Source organism: Homo sapiens, chromosome 17 (genome assembly GCF_000001405.40).
Source record: "Homo sapiens chromosome 17, GRCh38.p14 Primary Assembly".
In the NCBI taxonomy this organism is placed as follows: Eukaryota; Metazoa; Chordata; class Mammalia; order Primates; family Hominidae; genus Homo; species Homo sapiens.
In genome coordinates this window covers 33,185,004-33,207,847 of record NC_000017.11, presented here as the reverse complement: position 1 = coordinate 33,207,847, position 22,844 = coordinate 33,185,004, and the positions used below count along the sequence as shown (strand labels likewise).

Below are 22,844 nucleotides of genomic sequence, written 5' to 3'. Positions count from 1 at the left end.
GAGCCAGGGTGGAGCATGCACTTGGAGTTCTCCCACCTGAAGGGTGATGGAGTCTTTGGTGGAGAGCAACTCCTGAGAGGCACCTACTTTCTAGCACTTCTGGCCAACAAGTGCTCTTGGCTCTTGGCTGTCAGAGAGAGCCCTTGGATAAAGAAATGCAGGTGCCGATGGTTGGAAACGGGGCCAGTGTGCACTAAAATGGTTAAGTCCAAGGCGGTATGGGCAGGACACTGAAAGCATCTGCTACAAGCCGCTTTTATTGCTTCATGCCATTCTTGGTGCTAAGAATACATAGATGAAGATGGTCTGGTTTGTTCTCTCCAGGAACCGACAGTCTGTCCCTGTTTCTTTTCTTGTCTACAATACAGGTCTAATAGTAATAAGGCCTACCACGCAGGGATGTTTTGAAGATTTGATGACATGACACATATGAAAACCCTGTGCAAATGAATTGTGGGTATAGACTTTAGATGTTATTATCATCATTCAGCAAGTGACTTTACTTGCCACAGCCTTAGCTTCTTCTATCTGTCAAATGAGAATAAGAATATTTGTTCTGCTTACTTCAGACAGCCATCAATGCTTTAAATGAAACAAAGAATGAGAAAGCGCTAGGATAAAGCGCCGTTCACCACTTCCGTCCGTCCTCTTCGCACTAAATGAATCGCTTAAGGACGGGGATATTGTGGGATTCTCCTTTATAAGCCCTTCTCCTCAGACTGAGTAGGGTGCCTGGCATATAGTTAATGCTCAGTAAATCCTGGTTGCATTTAATCAAAACCCACATCCATTGTCATTGTGAAATGGTCAGGGCGGGAATTATTAAACACAATTGACAGATGAGGAAACAAAGCCTCAGAAAAAGGGCAGGGGAGTGATGCTGCTAGAAAGGGACAGAGCCAGAAGGAGGATCCTATGGCTCCCCATCCCGTGAGCTCTCCACTACCACCTTGGAATGACCATTGTGGGGACACTCAAAAATCGAACAAAAATATTGATGTTTCCTAGGGGCAAACCAGCCTGCTGATCTTCTGGCAATTCTGATCTCCAGTAACTCATCCAGGATCAGTTTAAAAACAGCTTCTCCAATCTAGAGGTGTCTGGGTAACCCTGGAACTTCACCCTGTAGCCACTTTATTTGTATCCCCTCAGAGCCTCCCTTCCCCAATCAGAGACCAGGGCCATGGAAGGATACTCTGCCTTGGTTTGGACACACAGCTGAGTGCTTGTCTGGGGATAGAAAGCGGAAGACAGCCCCATCCAAGCAGAGTCACGGGACACCACCAACCACATCTGAGAGGCCTATACTCATAATTCATCAGTAAGAAATCCCTTCTTGGGCATGGCTTTGGGCTTGGCTTGACCTTGGGTTGACCTTGGTTCAAATCCCAGTGCCTCCATTAGTCCAAAGGCTTCACCCTTCTGGATCTTGGTTTCCTCCCCAGCCAAACAGAAACACTGCTTACCTCACTGGATTTTAGGAAGACTGAAAAGGATCATGAATGCAGAGCAGCCAACAAGTGGTGGCCTTCCCTCTCCCTCCCTCCCTCCAATCCCAGAAGTAATCACACCTGGGCCAGCTGGCTCCTTCGACCTCATCACCAAATGGGTCCCGAGGATTTATGAGGCAATATGATACCAAGCAAGCATTTCTGTTTCGTGGGAAGTATGATGCTGCTGTTTTGAGAGCAAACAAATATTAAAATTTAGCTCTTCTCCTGTCATCTAGGTTTGAGTCTCCAGGTGGCCTCCTGTGGCCATCCTGCATTTTTATGACTCTGGTGAGTTTCATTACAGGTGCTACTTCCTGGAAACTCATCTCCCATCCTGACCCTGAGAGCATTTTATTTGAAACATCAATCATAATTTAGTGTTGAGCTTTCTGTTTACATGTAACTATGTGCATTCTTGTTGCCAGATCCAAACCGTGGTCTCAGAATGGGGAATTAGGGGGTCTTTGTGGCCCAGAGAAGAATGAATGTTGTCAGCCCAATCAAATTATCTCCTGCTACCACCAGCATGGGAACCGTATGCCAAGAAACGGCACAGCCAGCGCAGTCCCAGCCCTGCGGCATGCCGGGAGCTCTGGAGGGAAGAAATGATGTCATATCACCAAGCCAAGATAAAGGTGTCAGGACCCAACCAGAACTGAATGGCCGGCTGCCTCCAGCAAGAGGCCAGTTGTACAAATTGCCAGGTTCAAGGAACTCCTGCAAATTCTAGTCAAGCGTTTCCCCAAGTATGTTCAGGTTGTTATAGGTATTATACCTACAACCAAAAAAGTGTTTGTTCCATAGTGAAATCTGTTTTCAAATGCTAAATTATGATATGTTGAACACTGTGTTTTATAGCAGTGCTTATTAGAACCTTTGATAAGTAAATTTGCTGGTGGATCTCCAAGAAGGATACATATATATGTACAGGGCTTTGTCAATTTCTAAAACTGAAAACCTTTTTGTCCTCCCAAAGAGCATCCAAAAGGACCAGTGTTCCCCAGAACATATTTTTGGAATTACTGATCCAGGCTGGCAGCATTTCCAGAGGCACAAGGCAGGGGCTTATTGGCTGTGCTGTTCTCAGAATCAGGTGATGCAAGGGGCACACAGGGTGGCTTTGAGGACTGACAAGAGAGCCCAGCCAAGCATCTGGCCTGTGGGGCCAGGCTCTCTTTCCAGCAGGGGCTCTGGCTAACTGAAAACAGAGAGAGGAAACTGCAGACTCCACAGAGCAAGGTTTAGAGAGGCTACTGCATGGTGATCAGGTGGCAACAAAAGGCTCTGTATCGGTGAGGGCACTTTTGGTTGCAAGTGAGAAAATGCCAGTCAAACTTTCTTAAGTAAACAAGAGACCTTATCAGGTCATGTAACTGAATAGTCCATTCAAGTAGACTCTTCTGACTTCAGGCATGGCTCAACCCAGGGATCAAATGCTGTCACCTGGATAAGGTTTGTCTCTCCATCTGGCTCTGCTTCCTCAGTGTTGGCTTCATTCATGGCCCTTCTGTCTCTTCATGATGGCTGCTAAAAATTCCCTATTCTGCATCCTTTCAGCTTCACATCCAGTGGAAATGAAAGCCCACTTCTCTAATAGTGGACATGTACATGTTCACACGCATATGCACACATGCACACACACATGTGCTAGAATTGAGTTTCACTGGCTGTAATTGGCCTCACTTGGGTCACATGCTCATGTCTGACCCAACTTGGCTGGAGGATGAAATGCACTGGTCAGTGTGGCTTACTCATGGTTGCCACTTTTGGAGTCTGGGTAGAGTCAACTTTATCTGAAGCACATGAGATGGGTGGAGGTGGGACAGGCGAGCCCTCAAGAGGAAAACTGGGGACTAGTTACCAGCAGGGTGAAATGGATATCAGGCAGTAGACACAACAAATATCCACAACAGGCTGTCTCCCTGCCTGACTCCCGGGGGTGGCAGCAGCTGATCTTCTCATCCTGCCCAGATGGCATGAAGGGCTCCTCATACTCTGCCAGGCTGGCTTCTCACTGACTTAGCAGCTGGACATGGGCTGAGCCTGCAGGTAACAAGAACGTAGTGACCAGAGCTGGACAAGGGGAGAGACAAGTAGGGCCTGCCTGGGAAAATGACAGGCTACATTTTTCTAGGGGATTTTGATATTCATGAGACAAAAGACCAGACAATAACCAGACTTAAGAGAAAGACCCCACATTGGTGAGGGAAAACATGACTGAGTGCAGGTCTCTCTGAAAGCCCAACTCTCAGAGGTAAGAGGAATCTAAGCCTCACTCCACCACTCCTCCAGGTCTCACCATTAGAAAATAGACACAAGGATCACGAGCTAGATGCCAACCAAATAGCAGCTTGATTCCAGGCCAGGTATATGTTTAATACCTCCCAAAATGCAGGGCTTTGGCCTGAGCCAGATTAGGGAACATGACTTACCTAAGGACGAAATAGGTATCTAATAACCTTCTCCCCTAACTTAGAACTTGGACTTTGCTTGGGGCAGTCACATTGTGAAAACCCTACTCAGCTAGACACTGGCCTGCCCCACATACTCAGAGAGAGAGTGGCAAGCCACCCGCAGCCAGGATCCCACTCCAGTGTGCTCACCCTATATGAGCAGGGACCTGAGGAGTGAGCCTGTACTATGTGCAGGGCAGGTCCCAGAAAAATAATAAAGGTAGAGTCCATCACCCACTCCTTAATAACATTGCCAACCCCGAGAATAAAGAGGCCACTGATGGTCATTCCCCCATCATATTAGCATCTCGCCTCAGTTGAGTGGAATAAAAAGGCGGGCAGAGGAGTAGATACTCCAGCCTCAGCGCTTCAAGAGGACAGAAGTGCTGGAGGAAGTTCCCTTCTTTATTAATGGGAGTGGGCACGTGGGGAGAGAAGGAAAACATTTCTTCGCATCATTCTACAGAGGTCCAGTTTCTTCTTATGAGGGCTCCAGTCAGTCCTCCAACTGTGTGGGCTGGACTCAGGGTGGAACCCCAGACTGGGTGGATCAGAGGAATTGCTACCCAGAATGCCTAAAAAAATAAGCTTTGAAAAAGCACATGGTTTTACACAGAGATGCATTATTATGCGCCAGAGGCAGGACTAAGCTTTGGGGCTATAAAAATCCACTGGATGTGATCCCTGCCTTCGGGCTGCTTCTGAGACAGACATGGATTCTAACACAACATAATACAGGCACTAGTGGAGCTATGGGTAAGGATGAAAGGGGCCATGGGCTCCTAGGTGTTTAGCCAAAAGGGGCCAATGTGTCTCTGGTTTAGCACGTGCAAATTTTCTGGGCTCACTGGAGCAGACACCACGTGCCACCTTTCTCGCTGAATCAAAGGGCTATCCTGTTGCTTTTTTTCTCTCTGGCGTTTGAAGTGCTGTGTGAGCAGGACGCAGAGGAGTGAGTGCCCAGCTCTATCCTATGTGTCCATGGAGCAGGGTGGTCCCCGGAGAAAAACAAAGACAGAGCCTATCCACCACCCACTCCTGAAGGACATGACCATCCCCCAGGGTAGAGAGAGGCCAATGAAGGTCACCCCCACCCATCCAGGAGCAAGCTCCAGCTGGAAAGATGAAGCTAAATAAAGCAGGAAGGAGCCATGTAGACACCCGCATTATTTAGGAAAATAACAATGAACTGCAATTATGTCTTAAAGTCACGTTCGCTCTCCATAGCAACTCTTATCTAGTTTTTAAATATATCTATAAGTTAATGGAAGAATGGGCTTCTGGGTGCATACTTTGCTTTACATTTTGTGCAAAGTCCTAGTCCAGCTGCCAAGTCCAGCAAGAGCCCTGCTGCACCCCTTGATGGACCCCCACGGGAGGTGCTGACCTGCTGGCCACACTGTGCACCCAGATGGGGCGGACAATCTCTAGGGGGATGAGGTCTCTGAGCCCTACACACACTGCTTCCCATCTCACACTTAATATCTTCCTGCTCTGAAATCCTATTCAAAATCTTCCCTAGAGAGAAAACCATTCCTTCTTCTAGCAGCCCAGTGACTCCAAACAGCCCATTTTCTCCCTCCCAAACTCATCACGCATAATGAACCCGCAGCTGTCCCTGTGGGGAGTTAGCTCCATTATTGCTCATGTGGCCAAAGACTACTCGCTGCTCGCTGTGGAGCCCATCCGCATCGTTGGTGTTTGTGCCACCTGCTGGTTCTGATGCAGGCAGGCCAGGTGAGCCTCAAAATTGGGGCTTAGCCCAGGATGGGTTCTTGGCTTTACCCAGGAAATAATTCAAGGAATCAAGGGCAAGCCAGTAGTGTTAGACGGCACCTTTTTTTTTCTTTTTTCTTTTCTTTTTCTTTTTTTTTTTTTTTTTTTGAGACAGTCTCACCGTGTCACCAAGTGGCATGATCTTGGTCCACTGCAATCCCCACCTCCTGGGCTCCAGCAATCCTCCCAGCTCAGACTCCTGAGTAGGTGGGACCATGGGCATGCATCACCATGCCCAGCTAATTGTTTTTATAATTTTTCAAAGACAAGGTTTCACCATGTTCCCCAGGCTGGTCTCGAACTTCTGGGCTCAAGTGATCTGCCTGCCTCAGTTTCCCAAAGTGCTGGAATTACAGGTGTGAGCCACCATGCCCAGCCTAGACAGCAGCTTTTATTGAAGTGGCCACATAGAGCAGCAGCAGCAGATATACTGCTCCTTACCGAGCAGGGCTACTCTATAGGCAGTGTGCCCAGAGTAGAAGCTCAGAGGCAGGGCTGCAGTCATGTTTATACTCATTTTAATTACATGCAAATTAAAGGGTGAGTTATTCAGAAATGTCTAGAAAAGGGGTGGTAACTTCTAGGTCATTGCCATGAAAGGGGGTGGTAACGTTTAGATGTTGCCATGGCAACAGTAAACTGACATGGCATTGGTGGGCACGTCTCATGGAGAGGTGCTTTTGCCTCTTTGCTGTTTCAGCTAGTCTTCAATCTGGTCTAGAGTCAAGTCCCTGCCTCCAGAGTTGAGTCCCACCTCCCCCTCAGTCCCAGGCTACTGGAGGGCTGCCGGAGTTGGCTTCTCCCCTGAAGAAGACATTCGTTCATTCATTGAGCCAACAAACTAGTGTTTAATGGACCACCTACTGTGGATCGAGCACTGCTGTAGGAACAGAGGACACAGAACTTAACACACAGATCAAAATCCATGTCCTCACTGCTTGGAGGAGATAGAAAATAAACAAGATACATAAGTAAAACATACAGTATGATGAACAAGTGCTAAGAAGAAAAATAAATCAGGAGAAGGGAATATGTGTTGGGAGGTGAAATTTTAGGTAAGGTGGCCAGAGGAGGTCTCTCCGAGAAGGTGGCATCTGGGAAAGACCTGGAGGAAGGAAGCTAGCCATGTGACTCTGGGGAAGGAGCATTCCAGGCAGAGGGAACAGCCAATGCAAAGGCCCTGCAGCAGGGGCTTGCCTGGGGTTCCCAAAGAACAGTGGAGGTGAGCTTGGCAGGTAGCACGAGCCAGACTGTAGGCCCTTATCACAGTGGTAAGGAATCTAGCATTACTCTGAGGGTGATGGAGAGTCATTGGAGGATTGTGAGCAGAGGAGTGATGTCATTTCACAGGATCACTCTGACTGCTGTGCTGGGAATAAACTGCAGGGGGCAAGGGTGGAAGCAAACAGGGAGATAGCCCATATGCAGCTACTGCAATAATCAAGGTGAAAATGGGGGTGATAAGAAGGGGCCATATTCTGAATCTGTTTTGAGGCTAGAGCCAACAGAATCACAGCCAGACCAGATATAGGATGTAAGGGAAGTAACAGGGACAACATCAGATTTTTTGGTCTGAACAATGAAAGATGAAGCTTCCATCTGCAATGAAGAGAAGGACTGGAGAAGGAGCCGGTTTGGGAAGGATCATCAGGATCTCAGTTTTGGACAGGCTTGAACATCCGAGTGAGATTTGTAAGTGGGCAGTTGGGTGTCTGTGTGTAGAGAGGTTAAGGGAGTGGGCTGAGCCAGATTTATTCGTGAGTCCTCAGCATACAGATTGTTTTTAAATCTCTGAGACTGGATGAGCCTTCCTAAGGAATGAGAGCTGAGTCAACAAACTCATAAAATGTTGACTCGATGCCAGGCACTGTGATGGCTGCTTGACAGACAGATGTGAGACTCGCCTTCAGTCCAAGAGAGAAGAAGAAAAAGCCATTTCAGTGTAATGCAGTTATTGCTAGCGAAGAGAAGCTCGGGGGTTAGAGAAAGCTAACACTGAAGTCCTTCTAGAGAGGACCCCTCAGCTTCCCCTAAGGGTAAAAGGAGCTATTCAGGAAGAAGTGGTGGAAGATATTCCAGGAAGAGGGAACAGCATGTGCAAAGGCAGGAAGCTGGGACAGAGCATGGGACTGGAATGGTAAGTGCCCATGGAACAGCAAGGGGGCACGGTGAGGCTCCAGGGGATAGGGAACGCAAGGAGGCAGGAGACAGGTCTCAGAGGCAGTGCTGGCTTGTGTGGATTTTGTCCTCAGGACCACTGAAAGACTGTTCTCATGTGAATGTCATGATCAAGTTCGCTATATTAACAATCAGAAGATTAGCATGGACATGTGACATGTATCCAGGTTGGAATGGCGATCAAGGTACACATAGGAAGTAGTCTTTACAAGAGAGAGGAGCCCATCGATTTCTGAGCCTGTTACTTTGTTCATGGCACAGTAATTTACCTGAAGCTAGAAATGTGTTTACCCAGAGCAGGGCCATGTTCAAGCTTAAGGGAAAGGGGAAAGGAGCTTAAAATGTATTGATGCTGCTGTATCACTTTATGTAATCACTTCTTTAACTCCCCAAGCCACAGCACATGAAAGTTATGAATATCTCTGTTTTATGCAGGAGCCAGTAAAAGCTAAGAGAGTTTGTGTACCCAGTCCAAAGTCACCCAGCCCAAATGTAGGGAGCTAGGATTTGAACCCTGCTCTGTGGTTACCTCCCCTAATGAAGCATTTCCTAGGGAACATTTTCCCACCTGCCAAGAGCACACACAATTTACAGAGCATCTGATGATTAAACAAGTTGGCTAAGTGCTTCTCACGCGTCAGACACAGTTGTCCTTTCCTTGACATGCTGTGGATGGAATTTAAATATTGCCTTTCAAATCAATGCTCATTTTATTAGCAGGAAGCATTTAGAATGAGCCATTACACCATCACAAGGGCTTTTATTATTGGTCCTTAATAAATGTTTGATGCCCGAAATGGTTATCAGCCCACAGTGCAGGAATGGTCTCACCTGCTCCCTGCTCTGCAATCTCTGCCATAAAATTAACTGAGGTATTCGTTAACAGACTTATCATTTATCCTACTTTTAACTGGCGTGATGCCAGAAAAATAAAATAAGCATATCAGAGAAACTACAGAAGGCTGTTTAATGACAGATAGCAAGGTTAAATCAAAAGAGCAATTCTTCCCACCAGCTTGTTATCATGAGCCAGGTCTCCAAGCAGGACGGTTAATGACATGGTCAAGGCCTGATCCCTGAATTCAAACTTATTTTTTTGCTACCAAGAAGAAGATTGTGTATTTTAGCTCCCATGCATCTTACCCTAGCTGGGATGGTGACATTTGAAGAAACCTTTATTTGCCTATTTCCTTTGGCTCTAAACAGCTCACTGCACATGTCTCATTTGCTGGCTTTAGCCACACAGGGAATGAGTCCTTTTTTTCCCCAGGGTGGAGAGCTCCCAGCAGAGAACAGAGGCTGGGGGTGCTACACAGGCTGAAGGTGACCTCAAAAGGTAACAGTATGCCAGGCAGTGTTGTAGTCAGGCTACCTGGATCAGTCACCATGTGCAGGGTGGCAGGACAGGTTGAAACCATTATAGTGGGAGACCAAGAAGTCTGCAGGGCATTTGTGGGTATCATCCCAGGTCTGAGTGACAGAAAAATAACAACAGCTAATGCCCTACTGAATTGAGCATAGGACTAGTTTATGTGAGTCAACTGATTGACCCATGCAACAATTTTATGATGTTAGGTTTGTTTTTTGTTTTGTTTTGAAACAGGGTCTCACATTGTCACCCAGACTGGAGTGCAGTGGTGCAAACATGGCTCCCTGCAGTCTGGACCTCCCGAGTTCAAGGGATCCTCCCACCTCAGTCCCCTAGTAGCTGGGACTACAGGTGCATGCCCCTATGCCCAGCTAATTTTTTTAGTATCTTTTGTAGAGATGGGGTTTCACCATTTTGCCCAGGATGGTCTCCAGCTCCTGAGCTCAAGTAATCCACCTGCCTTGGCCTCCCAAAGTGCTGGGATTACAGGCATGAGCCACCACACCAAGTCTATGATGTTAGTTTTAATATTATTTCCAGTTTACAAAGGAGGAAACCCAGTATTACAAGGTTAAATAATGTTCCCAGGAGCCAGGTTCCCCACTAACATCTGTGAGGCCCAGGACGAGAGTGCCAGTGGAAGCCCATGTAACACATATCTAAATATTTGCAAGTTTTGAATCCAGCCAACAACTAGTTAAATTAAATACATTCTATCATTCTGCTTGAAAAATAGACCTTTATAATGACTACAAAGCCCGGTTTGAATTCAGAATTCTGCAACTCTTAGGAATCCCAGACCAGAACCAGTACCCAGGGAGAGGGGTCCCTGACCCACAGCTCTCCCGAATTGTCCTTCTATTTTAGCTGTGTCTTAAACTGTAAGGGAGTTTTTGTGCATGCACATGGATACCCCAGCCCACACATCCAACCCCTGGACACTCCACATCAAACTGCAACCCCTTGGGAGGAGAGGGTGCATTCATCAATGCCAAGGTCCACCCTAGAGAGGATAGACCCAAAGGTGAGGCCCATCTGGGCCCTGTCAGCTGGCTTGGAGTCATTTAGGCAGAGAATTCCAGGGACCCAGAGTGTGGTCTAGTTTGAGAATATGAGTGCCTGGTGGACATGTCCTCTTGCTTCCTGTAAGGAAGGGTACAGATGGAAGAGGATCAGAGAAACACCCTGGAAAGTGTGGGGCCCAGAGCAGGGCCCCTCTTACCTATGTATACGGGTAATATTGCCAGTACCATGCAATAAGTGGCAGAGCTGATGTTTGAACTCAGGCTGTCCATCTCCAGAGTCCAGGTGCTAAACCCCCTAAGCTATCTTGCTGCTCAACAACCAAACATGAAATCCAAGAGGTGGCTATAGATTCCTGGAATCTCACAGTGCCAGAGCAGGGAAAGAGCTAGGCAATTTAAAGATCATTGAGTCTAATCCCTGCCCACTACCACCTTCACTCTCTACCCATTTTATAGATGAGGAAACTGAGGCTCAGAAAGGTTAAGTGACTTTCTCAGGAAATTAGACAAATCCAAGACAAAAAGCCAGGCTGCTGTTCAGTGCCCATCTTCTCCACCTTTCCTCTCCCTGTCCCATGTACCAGCTTTCTATTGAGGACTTAGACGTGTGTCCCTGGAGGGGACAGACAGCTTCCTCCATGGTATTTACAGTATGTATTCTAATGCCGAGGCGGAGATTCCTACTCCCATCTGTGTGTCATGCTGCCAGGAGCCCTTGGTGGTGTCAGCGAGTTCCAATTAGCTTTCTGAATCATATTTGTTGTCTTAAAATATTTATATCCAGCCACTTCCCACCTGCTAGAATTGAATTTTAGCCTCTTCCACAGTTCCTCTCTGTCTCAAGCCCAGAGGGGAATGCCTAGTACTTGAGCTGTTCCTGACATGAGGCACTGCCACCACCAACAGTGTTTCCTAATCAGACATAAGCAGGTGAATGGTGCCATTGCCGTGACCCAGGCTCCATGGCCCTGCACTTGGAGCTTCATGCCTCGGACAATGGCAAGTTGCTTCCACCAGGACAGGCCATTGTAATTCTATGTATGCTCTTCAGCTGGCTACACCTTCCTGTCTGGACTTTTGGGAGGCTCCCAGCAGATAACTGCAAGGACGCCTCACAGGTACCCCATGTATTTTTATCCTTCTTGGTGGCCGAAGGAGGCTGGAGCATCTTTTGCTGTAGGTTACCTTGACATTCTTCTAGAAGTGATCATCATCATCATCATCATCATCATCATCGTCATCATCATCGTCTCGTGTACTTTTAAAAGGTGGAAAGGGCACAGTTTTAAAATCAGGATTTGTATGTCAGTTCCATCTTTTAATAGCTATGTGACCTCCATTCAATTGTTTAACCTCTCCAAGTTCCACTTGCAAAATAGGGCTAACAAGGAATTTTAGGAACGATGAAATGAGCTACTCAACCTGCTCAGACCTTTCACTGAGGGCTCACTCTGTGCCAGGTATCTGGCATGTAAGCATTGCTTCCTTAATCCCTTTGATATATGTAAAGTGACTGGCGGGGTATCCGGCACACAGCACAATCTTACCTTTGTGAGGTAAGACAGGGCATGTGTAATTGCCACATTTTTATTAGGTTGGTGCAAAAGTTATTGTGGTTTAATGGCAAAAGGAGGAAACTGAGGCTTAGAGGAATTCCTTGATGATCCAGACTCACCCAACAGGTAAGCAGGAGTGCCACAGCCCACTCTATGACCCAGGAGGGTGAGGAGGGGAGGGCAGTCATTCTGGAGGTAGAATGAAGGATCAGAAGACCAGGCCAGAACTATGACCCTGCTTCCTAGCTGCATGACCTTCGGCAAGCCATTTGGCCTTCTGATCCTCAGTTTCCCTGTCTGCACAGTGAAGATGATCGTGTGTGTCCTCTGACCCAAAGTAATATGTTTTAATTATTGGATTATAAGTCTGTCTACTCTGATAACATGCTAACTTCCTGAGGACAGGGTTTATTTCTTAATGTAAAAAAGTTGATGGCCAGTAACCATTTACTATACATGATCAAAAAATAAAATTAAATAAAAATTTGTACAATTTCAACCCAATCACTATCATGATCCTCATTCACAATAATAGTTATAACAAAATCGAATTTTGTCAAAATGCTTTTCCACCCATAATCCTGACAATGACCCTCTAATATATGATTATCCCTGTTTTATAATAAGAATTCTGAGGTGTAAAGCGGGTAGAGGACTTGTTCAAGGTCATGCAGATATGGAGTGCTTTCCCCTGAGTCTGTATGATTCTAAATAGGTGGGATGACTTTCTCTTCCCCACACTGCTGTCATGTTGAGTTTTTAGGCTGTGCAGAGGCTGCTTTGTGCTGGCTGCTTTGTGCCAGCTGCCTGTGCTCAGGGAGGTTGGGGTTGGGGCTGACATCTCACTTTTTAAATTTTCCTTCCATTTTAATAAATAATATGTCACAATTCAGGCAAGCCAGCTGAATAATAATTTGTCAAGCCAGGAGCCCGACTTAGCTTGTTCCCACACCCGTCTTTCTACCTCCTACCTCTCTCAGTCCAGTCTTCACACATCCTGCTGAGCTCCAGATATTTCTGCCTTGGTGCTGTCACCATTCCCTAAGAAGTGGCAAACATTAAACTTGTTGTCTTTCCCCAAAGTTTCCCACTCTGCCTATTGCGATAGGCTTTGCAGCTCACTGTGCTGGTGAGGGAAACTGATGGCCCTGAGTGTCCCTCTGAGTATCCCAGAAGTTGGGTTTCACCACGTGTCTTAGCGTCAGAACAATGACATTGACCTTCTTTGCCAGTGGTCTTGGTTTTGCAGGGTGTGATAGAGTTGAGCTGCAGTACTGTAAGTCAACAGCAAGAGATTCCCAATCTGGGAATAACAGATTGATTTCCCAATCTGGGAATAACAGATTGATATCCCAATCTGGAAATGTAATGGCTTCAGGTTGTACATAATCAATTTGTTCCCTACATTCCAGTGCTGCAAATCCAAGATTTCATGTATAGATCTTTAAAAAGAAGAAGTAATTCCTTATTTTAGAAAAACTCTACATATGGAAGTTCACAGGTGCTGTATTTTTCCTCCATGATCATCATCATCATCATATCGGCTTAGTGAGCAATTTCATATCTATCCTGTCATTTGATCATCACAACAACTCTGAGAGTGACAAGGGCAACTACTGGTGTACCCATTACTTGGACAGGGAAACCAAGACATAAGCAACATGCTAGGAAGACACAAGAGAGGAGGGGCTGCTTTTGAATGTGGAGATCAGCAATGGCCTCTTGGTCAGAATGGCATTGGAAACAAGCCTTGAAAAACAAGGAGCTTTTTAGCGTGCAGAAAAGTGAAAGCAATAATTTCAGATTCGTGGAAAAGCATGAGCAAAAAGTCAGGAGGCTTGGGAAGTTCATGGATAATCAGATGGGACTGGCACCTAGAATGATTTGAGAAGGCAGTGGCAGATGAGCATGGATGGTCCCTGGAGGCTGGTGCCCAGTTACAGTGCATCTTGAATACGGCCCTCCCCCTGCCAAGGTGCTGCAGATCTGGTGTCTTAGGGTAGGCTCCCCAGAAGAATACCCTGAGACAAGGAATCGTGTGAAAGTAATATACTAGAAAGTATTCCCAGAGATGGCCAGTAGTAAATTGAGACCTGCAAGATGGCCAAGCCAAGGAAGGCAACCAAGTAAGCTACCAGCGGCAGAAACTACATAATCCCACAGGGATGTTCCCAAGACAGTGTAGACCCATGGGACTCCAAGTGTGGTCCTAGATCAGTAACATCAGCGACCACCCTGGAGCTTGTCGGAATTGCAGAGCCTCCTCTCCAGCCCGGACTCTCTGAATTAGAATCTGCATCATAACAAGATCCCCAGGCCTAGATCAGATCTCAGAGTTGTCCCAATAAGTGGCAAGGGAGCTGGAGTACTTCCACATGCTGTACCTGTCAGTCATGGGTTCAGGACTGCTCCCCAGGGGGATGTAAATTCCCAGGTACTTCCAGCCTTCTGCATGGTGGGTGCAGATTCCAGCAGACAGAGGGCAGGCCTCCAACAGAGAAGCTGGCCATTAAGTATGAAAGCACCAGTCCTGGAGCCATTTACAGGAAAATGGTAAAGCCTCCGGAGGGATGTGAGCAGAGCGCTATATATAGACTCTGACCACCCAGGCAGCCTGATGGCAGCACAGACTCCTTTCCACATTCTTTATTCAGCCCAAGACCTGTGGGCACAAATCTCTCAGGCAGTCAACTGGGAGAGGGTGGCGAGGCCTTGGAGAAAGGGACCTACTGCAAACTAAGTCCCTAATCTCTGGATTCATCCTGGGGAAAGTTGTATCACTTCCTGACACTTATCATGTGTTAACAAAGGCTTCTAAGTTGAGTTAAGTAGGGTTTCCCTGCTTCAAATGAACAGATAAAACACCTTTGTCATTAGAACATTAACATGTAAATGGTGCCATTAAAGGACTTTCAAATCCGTTAGTTCTATCAAGTAGGTTAAACATTTCCCCGAAACCCAGGGTGAACAATTCAGTTGCTTAGCAAGCTTCTGCCCTCCAGACCACAGGTGGTGAGCAATCCTTCTTGAATAATGGCCAATTCAGGAAAAGTAAAAATATGTATGGCCAGAGGTATTTTTTCCATTCAATCCAAAAATAGCTATATTTAATCACATGGCGGAAAAAAATGTGTATTTTTAAAACAATATATCAGCTTTATTATTTAAGAAAATGTTAATTAGAAAATTGGATACTACTTTTTAGCCTATAAAATATTAACTAATATCTGGGTACTTATGAGAAATTGCATCAGAGAGGCAGCTTTCCGATTTCTCCTCTCAAAATCAAGTCACAGACCATGTCATGGGGCTGGATGGAATATGAGTTTGCTACACAATAAAGAAGTCAACTTTTGCCTGACCATGGTTGCTTCTTCACAAGATTTGAATTGGTGAATGGCTGACGTTAGGAGGTGAGGGATCTTAGAGCAGCCACACCTCCTTGCTCCCTGCCTGTCCAGCAGGGGATGTCAATAGTCCTTCATAAATGTCACCATTAATAGCAGATAACAGAGCAAACTCTGTCTTGGTTTTTTTGGTTGTGTTTTGTTTTGTTTTGTTTTGTTTTGTTTTGTTTTGTTTTGTTTTGTTTTGTTTTGTTTTGTTTTGTTTTTGAGACTGAGTTTTGCTCTTCTTGCCCAGGCTGGAGTGCAATGGCATGGTCTTGGCCCACTGCAACCTCTGCCTCCTGGGTTCAAGCAATTCTCCTGCCTCAGCCTCCCAAGTAGATGGGATTACAGGCACCCACCAACATGCCTGGCTAATTTTTGTATTTTCAGTAGAGACATGAGGTTTCACCATGTTGACCAGGCTGGTCTTGAGCTCCTGACCTCAGGATCTTGTCTCCATTTACAGCTCCATCTTTCATAAATGTCCAAGCACTCTTTTGAATCCATGTATAGCTTCTGCTTATAATATATTTTTATTAAGAAGAAAATGGAGGGAGAGAGAGAAGAAAGAGGAAAGGAGGAAGTGGGGAAGGAGTAGAAAACAGAAAGATCTGTTTTCATGGTGTAGTGAAAAACAGCTTCAGTTAAATTCTGCAACATCCAAGCACCCTCTTCCACTGAATAATGGGGTAGATCTGATTAATGGAGGATTGAGGAAAAGGCATGTAGCACAATTCTGGCCGATGAGATAGGAAGAGAAGTTTGCTGGATGATTCTGGGGGATTGGTTTCTGTCTTAAGAGGGAGCTTTGTGAAGTCTGTCTCTCCTTCCTACCAATGTGAACAAGGAAGTTTGTAAGACGGATTGTGAGTAGCTACCCTGTAATCACATGGGGCATTAGGAGAAATCCAGCACTGTGAATAACAGGGTGTAGAGGGCCGTGGATCCTGTTGCCACCCTACTGGTGGCTATTTCTCCTCCTCCTCCTCCTCATTCTCCTCCCTCTTGTTCTCCTCTTCGTCCTCCTCCTCCTTCTCCTCCCTCTCTTTCTCCTCCTCCTCCTCCTTCTATCCCTTCTTCTTCTTCTTTTAACATTTTATGGCTGTATTGAGGTATGATCACCATACAATGATATGCACATATTTAAAGTGTTTAATCTGATGAGTTGTGACAAATACATATACCTGTGAACCCATCAACACAACCCAAAAAGAAAAAAATTCCATTACCCCCCACCCAACAAAGGTTCCCCATGTCCCTTTGTAATTAATTCTTCCTTCCATCTCCACACCAAGGAAACTACTGATCCGTCTCTGTCAGTGTAGATTAGCTGGCAATTTCTAGAATGTTATATGAATGGAATTATACAATGTTGTCTCTTTCTTGTCTGACTTCTTTAACTGAGGATAATGATTTTTAGACCTCTCCATGTTGTTGTATGTGTCAGTTGTTTATTCCTTTTTATTGCTGAGACATATTTCTATTGTGTAGGTATACCATTTTAAAAAAATCTTTTAGGCTGTTGATGGAAACATGGGTTGTTTCCAGTTCGGGGCTCCTACAAATAAAGCTGCTATAAACATCCATGTACAAGCCTTTGCATGAATTTATGCTTTCTTTCCCTTGGGTAAATACTTAACAAGTGGAATGGGTAGGTTCTTTGGTACGTATGCACTTAACTTTTAAAGACATTGCCAAACTGTTTTCCAAAGTGACTGTTCCATTTTACATCCCTGGCAGCATGTGCAAAAGTTCTAAATGCTCTGCATCTTCCCTGACCCTTGGGATGGTCAGTCTTTATCATTTTAGCCATTATAATGGTGCTTAGTGTAGTGGCATCTCATTGTGGTTTTAATTTGCATTTCCTTAATGACTTCTGATGTTATTCATGTAGATCAACTTCTGGACTTTCTGTTCCATTGATCTATATGTCTATATTTATAATAATACCACAAAGTCTTGGTTATTATAGTTTACACTAAGTTTCTTAGACAGTGTAAGTCCGTCAACATTGTTCTTTTTCAAAATTGACTATTCTAGGTCTTTCACATTTCCATATAATTTTTAGTAGTAGCTTGTCAATTTCTATTTTTTAAAAATCCTGCTGAGATTTTCATTGGGTTTCATTTAATCTATAAATCAATTTGGTAAGAATTGATGTAACAATATTTAATCTTCCTGTCAATAGCATGGCATTTCTCTGTATTTACATATGTGATCTTTAATTTCTCTCAGCAATGTTTTGTAGTTTTTAGTGTATGACTCTACAAATATTTTGTCAAAATGTATCCCTGTTTCATAGTTTTAATATAATACTATTGTAAATGGTTTTTTATTTTAATTTCCAACCGTTTATATAGTGAACCCATTATACTATATTGAAACAATTGATTTTTGTATTTCAATTGCATATTATTCAGCCTTACTAAACACATTTATTAGTTTTGGTAACTTTTAAATAAATTCTTTAGGATTTTTTATGTAGATGATTATTTTATCTGTGAAAAAAGTCAGTTTTACTTCCTCCTTTCCAATTTATATGCCTTCTGTTTGTTTTTCTTGTCTTACTGCACTAGTTAGGACCTTTGCTACAATGCTGAATACATGTGGTGAGAGCAGACACTTTGTCTCATCCTTGCCTTGCCTTGATCGTAGGGGAAGATCATTCACCCTTTCACCATTATTATCCAAGTCTTCTATATCCTCACTGATTTTCTGCCTATGTGTTATAAACATTGTTGAGAAAGGGGTGTCCCCAACTATAACTGTAGATTTGTCTATTTTTCCTTGTAGTTTATCAGCTTTTGCTTCACATATTTGGAAGCTCTGTTGTTAAGGGTATACAGGTTTATTATTATTATTATATCTTTTTGGTGAATTGACCTCTTTATCATTATGAGATGAACCTCTTTCCACCTGTAATACACATATTCTTTGCTCTGAAATCTACTTCGTCTGATATTAACAAAGCCACTCCAGGCTTCTTTTTTAAGTGTTAGCATCCTTTCACTTTTATCTTTATCTTTATGCCTAAAGTCAGATCTTGCCTATAGTTGGGTCTCGCATTTTTCAATACAATCTAACAGTCTCTGCCCTTAATTGGGATGTGCAGACCACTGTATATAATGTGATTATTAATGTTGAGTTTAAACCTGCCAACTCATTTGTTTTCCTTTTGGCCCATCTGGTCTTTGTTCCCTTTTCCACTTACTTGTCCTGCCTTCTTTCAGATTAATGAACTATTTTTTATGATTCCGTTGTATCTCCTTTGTTGACTTCTTTGTCCCATCTCTTCGCTTTCTGTTTTAGTGGTTGCTGTAGAACAGGGTTTCTCAGCTCTGGCACTACTGGTATTTTGAGCCAGATAATTCTTTGTTAGGGGGTGGGGGGTTCTCTTGTGTATTGCAGAGTGTTTAGCAACATCCTTGGCATCTACCCACTAGATGTGGGTAATACCCATCCACACATTGTGACAGATATCCCCAGGGAGCACTCCTAAAACTACAGCTCTAAGGCTTACAGCATAAATCTTTAACTTATCAAGCAAATGTTATACGACTGTATGTATAGTATCAGAAACTTACAAAAGTGTACTTCCCTCTCCCACACCCCATCTTTTTTGTCATACATTTTTCTTCTACATATGCTATAAACCCCACAACACATTGTTATTTCTACTTTTTAAAATAATCTTTTAAAGAGACTTTAAAAATAAGAAAAAATATTTTATATTTACTCACATATTCCTTATGTAAATTCAAACTTCCATCTGGTATCATTTTATTTTATGCTTAAAGGACTTATTTCAGTATTTCATGTGGTAATTGTTTTCTGGTGATGAATTCTGTCATTATTTGTATGTTTGAAAAAAATCTTTACTTTTGTTATTGAAATATATTTTTACCAGATATATAATTTTAGGTTAACAGTTACTTTCTCTCAGTACTTTAAAGCTATCACTCCACTGTTTTCTGGCTTTCATTTCTGAGACGTCTGCTTTCATTTTTATCTTTGTTCCTCTGCATATAATGTGTCTTTGTTTCTGGCTTCATTTAAGTTTTTCTCTTTATCAGTACTTTTCAGCAATTTGGTTTTGATATGCTTTGATGTGATTTTCTACATGTTTTTTATATTTGCAGTTCATTGATTTCTTTGCATCTATATGGGTTTAAATTTTTATCAAATTTTGAAAAATGCTGGCTATTATTTCTTCAAATATTTTTCTCTCCCTTCCCTTCTTCCAGGACTCCAACCACATGACTATTAGGTCTTTTTATATTGTCCCACAGCTCACAGATACTCCATTATTTTTATTTTGTCTTTTAACTTTGTGTATCATTCTGGATAGTTTTTATCACTGTGTCTTTAATGTCACTGATCTTTTCTTTTGCAGTGTCTAATCTGCTGTTAATTCCAACCAGTGCATTTTTTAATCTGAGATATATTTTAATCTCTAAAACTTTTCTTTGGGTCCTTTTTATGTCTTCCATTGTCTCCTTAGCATGCTCACACACACTTTTCTCTATCTTCTTGAGCAAATAATATATGATTATAGCAGCTGTTTTAATGTTCTTGACTACTAAACTGATTATTTGTGTCATTTCGATGTCTATTTCTGTGGATTGATTTTTTTCCCTCATTGCAGGTCATAGTTTTCTGTTTTTTCTTTTTTTTCTTTTTTCTTTTTTTCTTTTTTTTTTTTTCATCCCTGACCATTTTTGATTGGCTGTCAGGCGTTATGAATGTCATGTTGTTGGATGTTATCATTTTTTCAGTTCCTTTAAATGTTTGGGGGCCTTGTCCTGGGATGCAATTAAGTTACTTAGAAACAATTTGGTTTCTTTCAAGGATCAGCAAACTATACTCTGCAGGACAAATCCAGCCCCCTTCTGTTTTTGTAAATGAAGTTTTAATGGAACACAGTCACTAGCCACAGCCATTCTTTCACATATTGTCTGTGGCAACTTTTGCATTACCACAGAAGACTTAAACAGTTGAGACAGAAGCATGTGGCCCATACATTCTATTAGGTGCAGGTAGTTGTGGTTTTGGACTGTGAATTTTAAATCATTATAACTAGGCTCAAACACATCTTTATTAAGCAAAATAGGAACCATTACAATCAACACATTTTTTTGCCAATGAGAAATAAGCTTGTTTGTTCCTATAGTGTAAAAATCCATGCTTCGGGATTTAATGAACTCTTGGAAAGCATTTTCTGCATCCTGCTCATTGTGGAAGCATTTTCCCTGCAATAAGTTGTCAAGTTGCTTAAAGAAGCATTAGCTGGTTGGTGAGAGGTCAGGTGAATATGGCGGATGAGGCAAAACTTCATAATCCAATTCATTCAACTTTTGAAGCGTTGGTTGTTCGACATGTGGTCAGGTGTTGTCATGGAGAAGAACTGAGCCCTTTCTGTTGACCAAAGCTAGCTGCAGGTATTGCAGTTTTTGCTGCATCTCATAGACTTGCTGAGCATACTTCTCACTTGTAATGGTTTCGCCGGGATTCAGAAAGCTGTAGTGGATCAGACTGGCAGCAGACCACCAAATAGTGACCGTGACCTTTTTTGGTGGAAGTTTGGCTTTGGGAAGTGCTTTGGAGCTTCTTCTCAGTCCAACCACTGAGCTGGTCATCACCGGTTGTTGTATAAAATCCACTTTTCGTCGCACATCACAATCTGATCTAGAAATGGTTCATTGTTGTTGCATAGAAAAAGAGTAGACAACACTTCAAAATGATGATTTTTTAAAATTTTTGCTCAGCTCATGAAGCACCTACTTATCAAGCTTTTTCACCTTTCCAATTTGTTTCAAATGCCAAACGACCATAGAATGGTCGACATTGAGTTATTCAGCAACTTCTTGTGTAGTTGTAAGAGGATCAGCTTTGATGATCAACTTCCGATGGCCAGCCACTATGCCCCTCATCTTCAAGGCTCTCGCCCCCTTTGCAAAACTTCTTGAACCACCACTGCACTGTACGCTCATTAGCAGTTCCTGGGCCAAATGTGTTGTTGATGTTGCAAGTTGTCTCTGCAGCTTTACGACCCATTGTGAGCTTAAATAAGAAAATCTCTCGAATTTACTTTTTGTCTAACATCATTTCCATAGTCTGAAATAAATATAAAATAAACAGCAAGTAATAAGTCATTAGCCAAAAAATAAAGCGAGAAATGCCCATTAAGATGATGTATAAGGCCAGGGGTGGTGGTTCATACCTGTAATCCCAGCATTTTGGGAGGCTGAGTTGGGCAGATCATTTGAGGTCAAGAATTCGAGACCAGCCTGGACAACATGGTGAAACCCCATCTCTACTAAAAATACAAAAATTAGCTAGGTGTGGAGGCACATGCCTGTGATCCCAGCTACTCGAGAGTCTGAGGCAGGAGAATCACTTGAACTCTGGAGATGGAGGTTGCAGTTGGCCAAGATCAAGCCATTGCACTCCAGCCTGGGAAACAAAGCGAGACTCTGTCTCAAAGAAAAAAAAAATGGTGTAGAACATAACCACATTTATTTAAGAATGTATTCCAAATATCAAACGGCAAATTTCAACAATGCAAAAACCGCAATTACTTTTGCACTCACCTAATAAGATATTTACTCTCTGTCCCTTTACAGAAAATGTTTGCTGACCTCTGCTTCAGACCCTTGCTTTTATGCTTTATTAGATGGGGCCAGGACAGCCCTTGCCTATGGTGAATTTGTCCCCACTTCTGAAGCAATACCCTCTGAGCACTCTACCCGAAGCCTGGAGTGTTTATTACAAAGCTGTTCCACTCTGGCTGATAGAACACATGGTATTCCCAGTCTTGTGGGATCTGGAGGAGATTGTTCCACCTACAGTGGCTCTTCCCTCGGCCTTAGTGGTTTCCTCACATACACAGTGATCAGTACTCCATGAAGAATGAAGGGAGACCTTCTGCAGATCTCTGGTGCTTTCCTCTTGTGTACTCTTATCTTGTGAATTCTAGCTTTTTGGCCTTCCTGAATTTTTTACTCTGTCACCTCAACTCAGGAAGACTGCCAGCTCAGCTAGGGTTCTCCCTCCCTCCACCACAACCTAGAACCTCTCCTGGCAGTAAGGCAGGGCGATCACAGGGCTCACCTACGATTTGTTTGTTTCTCTTCTCTCGGGGAGCATTGCCCCGTACTGCCTGTTGTCCATGTCTGGAAAACATGTTAGGTTTCTTATGTGAGCTAAGAATTCTTTACCGTGTGCACCAAGTCACTTTTTCCATTATGTGTAGCCAGAAACTTCTTAACAAAAATAGTCACCCAAGAGGCTGGAGTGCTGGTTTTGAGGAGAATATATCATTCTCCTGAACCCTGAATAGCATGTCATAAAGGAAATAGTAGGACAAACAAACAAAGCCCAATCAAAAACTGAAAAACAACATATTGCTCTAAGAAAGGGATATTTTAAAATAGATGAGTCTAATTCTTATGAATGCCAGTGGGCAGCATCACAGACCAGGCATAGTCAGTCTGAGTTCCATTGACGCTTCTGTTATTATTGTAGTTTTGTTTCATTTAAATAAGAGATTCCAGAGAAGGTTTCAGAGGACTAGAATTGAGTAGATCTTTCAGGCAAATTTCTCTC

The 22,844-nt window shown here is 43.5% G+C and overlaps 1 protein-coding gene across 2 annotated transcripts in view, besides 2 other annotated features; it reads left to right on the top strand.

The window, feature by feature from the left end:
• The window catches only part of ASIC2 (acid sensing ion channel subunit 2), a 1,143,682-nt gene that overhangs the window by 948,921 nt on the left and 171,917 nt on the right, over nucleotides 1-22,844 (top strand). The window lies entirely within an intron of this gene.
• Nucleotides 14,071-14,581: an enhancer, noted in NCBI's record as "OCT4-NANOG hESC enhancer chr17:31520285-31520795 (GRCh37/hg19 assembly coordinates)". NCBI's record gives its function as "activates a minimal SCP1, AML or CMV promoter by ChIP-STARR-seq in naive and primed H9 embryonic stem cells {active_cell/tissue: H9 hESC(naive and primed)}" and the evidence as "EXISTENCE:reporter gene assay evidence [ECO:0000049][PMID:30033119]".
• Nucleotides 14,582-15,093: an enhancer, noted in NCBI's record as "OCT4-NANOG hESC enhancer chr17:31519773-31520284 (GRCh37/hg19 assembly coordinates)". NCBI's record gives its function as "activates a minimal SCP1, AML or CMV promoter by ChIP-STARR-seq in naive and primed H9 embryonic stem cells {active_cell/tissue: H9 hESC(naive and primed)}" and the evidence as "EXISTENCE:reporter gene assay evidence [ECO:0000049][PMID:30033119]".